General features: G+C 43.3%; 1 annotated feature.

Annotated features, from left to right (window-relative positions):
• Positions 714-1,215: an enhancer, noted in NCBI's record as "H3K4me1 hESC enhancer chr6:93741721-93742222 (GRCh37/hg19 assembly coordinates)". NCBI's record gives its function as "activates a minimal SCP1, AML or CMV promoter by ChIP-STARR-seq in primed H9 embryonic stem cells {active_cell/tissue: H9 hESC(primed)}" and the evidence as "EXISTENCE:reporter gene assay evidence [ECO:0000049][PMID:30033119]".

The following is a 1,892-nucleotide window of genomic DNA, read 5'->3' as shown; positions in this document are numbered from 1 at the left end:
TCCTTTAGCTCGGAGTAGTTTGATTGGCTGAAGCCTTCTTCTCTCAACTCGTCAAAGTCATTTTCCATCCAACTTTGTTCCATTGCTGGTGAGGAGCTGCGTTCCTTTGGAAGAGGAGAGGCACTCTGATTTTTAGAGTTTCCAGTTTTTCTGCTCTGTTTTTTTCCCCATCTTTGTGGTTTTATCTACCTTTGGTCTTTGATGATGGTGACGTACAGATGGGGTTTTGGTGTGGATGTCCTTTCTATTTGTTAGTTTTCCTTCTAACAGTCAGGACCCTCAGCTGCAGTTCTGTTGGAGTTTGCTGGAGGTGCACTCCAGACCCTGTTTGCCTGGGTATCAGCAGCAGAGGATGCAGAACAGCAGATATTGGTGAACAGCAAATGTTGCTGCCTGATCGTTCCTGTGGAAGTTTTGTCTCAGAGGAGTACCCGGCTGTGTGAGGTGTCAGTCTGCCCCTACTGGGTGGTTCCTCCCAGTTGGACTACTCGGGAGTCAGGGACCCACTTGAGGAAGCAGTCTGTCCATTCTCAGATCTCCAGCTGCATGCTGGGAGAACCACTACTCTCTTCAAAGCTGTCAGACAGGGACATTTAAGTCTGCAGAGGATTCTGCTGCCTTTTGTCTGGCTATGCCCTGCCCCCAGAGGTGGAGTCCACAGAGGCAGGCAGGCCTCCTTGAGCTGCGGTGGGCTCCACCCAGTTCGAGCTTCCTGGCCACTTTGTTTACCTACTCAAGCCTTGGCAATGGTGGGCACCCCTCCCCCAGCCTCGCTGCTGCCTTGCAGTTTGATCTCAGATTGCTGTGCTAGCAATGAGTGAGTCTCCGTGGGCATAGGACCTTCTGAGCCAGGCATGGGATATTATCTCCTGGGTTGCCATTTGCTAAGACCATCGGAAAAGCACAGTATTAAGGTGGGAGTGACCTGATTTTCCAGGTGCCATCTGTCACAGCTTCCCTTGGCTCGGAAAAGGAATTCTCTGACCCCTTGCACTTCCCAGGTGAGGCGATGCCTCGCCCTGCTTCGGCTCTCGCTTGGTGGGCTGCACTCACTGTCCTGCACCCACTGTCCGACGCTACCCAGTGAGATGAACCTGGTACCTCAGTTGGAAATGCAGAAATCACCCGTCTTCTGCATTGCTCACACTGGGAGCCATAGACTGGAGCTGTTCCTATTCAGCCATCTTGGCTCCACCCCTTTTCATGTTATTAATAACACCGAACTGTTTTCTTTTATAAACATATGTGTGCATATACATATATACACATTTTAAAATTGGAATTAATAACTAGATTAATCTGAATATTTTAACAATTATAGTTAAAAAACTGCATATTAGAATGAAATAATTTTAAATCTAGATTATCTTACAATTGCTAAAATAATCATTTTATATCCATTTATTGTATTAAATATCATACGGGTAAACTAACTTAGAAATGATTTAGATATGTACTTGCTAATCTTCAGCTATTAGTTTTGCAAACTGTTTAGTTGTCTTTGATAAGTGAGGACATATTAAACTACACAATTAATTTCCTGGCAAATGAATGCAACCCAACTTACCCTTCCAAAAACCAAAAACAAAACTCAAAAACTTATTTCAAACAATCTGGTTACTAATTTGTTATTTTAATAACTTAATAGCTCTTTCTCACTTTGTAGGAAATCAAATGCAGTCACTTTGTGTAAATGCAAAACCCAATATAGGAGAAATGAAAATCATATAAATATTTTACTGCAATTTCTCTCATAAGCTATGTAACATTTATGTCTGGACTATTAAGTACTTAACCTACCTAAACCTTGTGGAGGCCACGGTAAATGTTTTCCTCACCAACTTCTTACACAAACCTGGAAGCTCAAGCTTAAGCTAGGAGGTTGATTTCTA

This window comes from Homo sapiens, chromosome 6, assembly GCF_000001405.40.
Source record: "Homo sapiens chromosome 6, GRCh38.p14 Primary Assembly".
Lineage (NCBI taxonomy): Eukaryota > Metazoa > Chordata > Mammalia > Primates > Hominidae > Homo > Homo sapiens.
The sequence above is the reverse complement of the archived record's forward strand: the minus strand, read 5'-3'. Positions and strand labels throughout refer to the sequence as shown.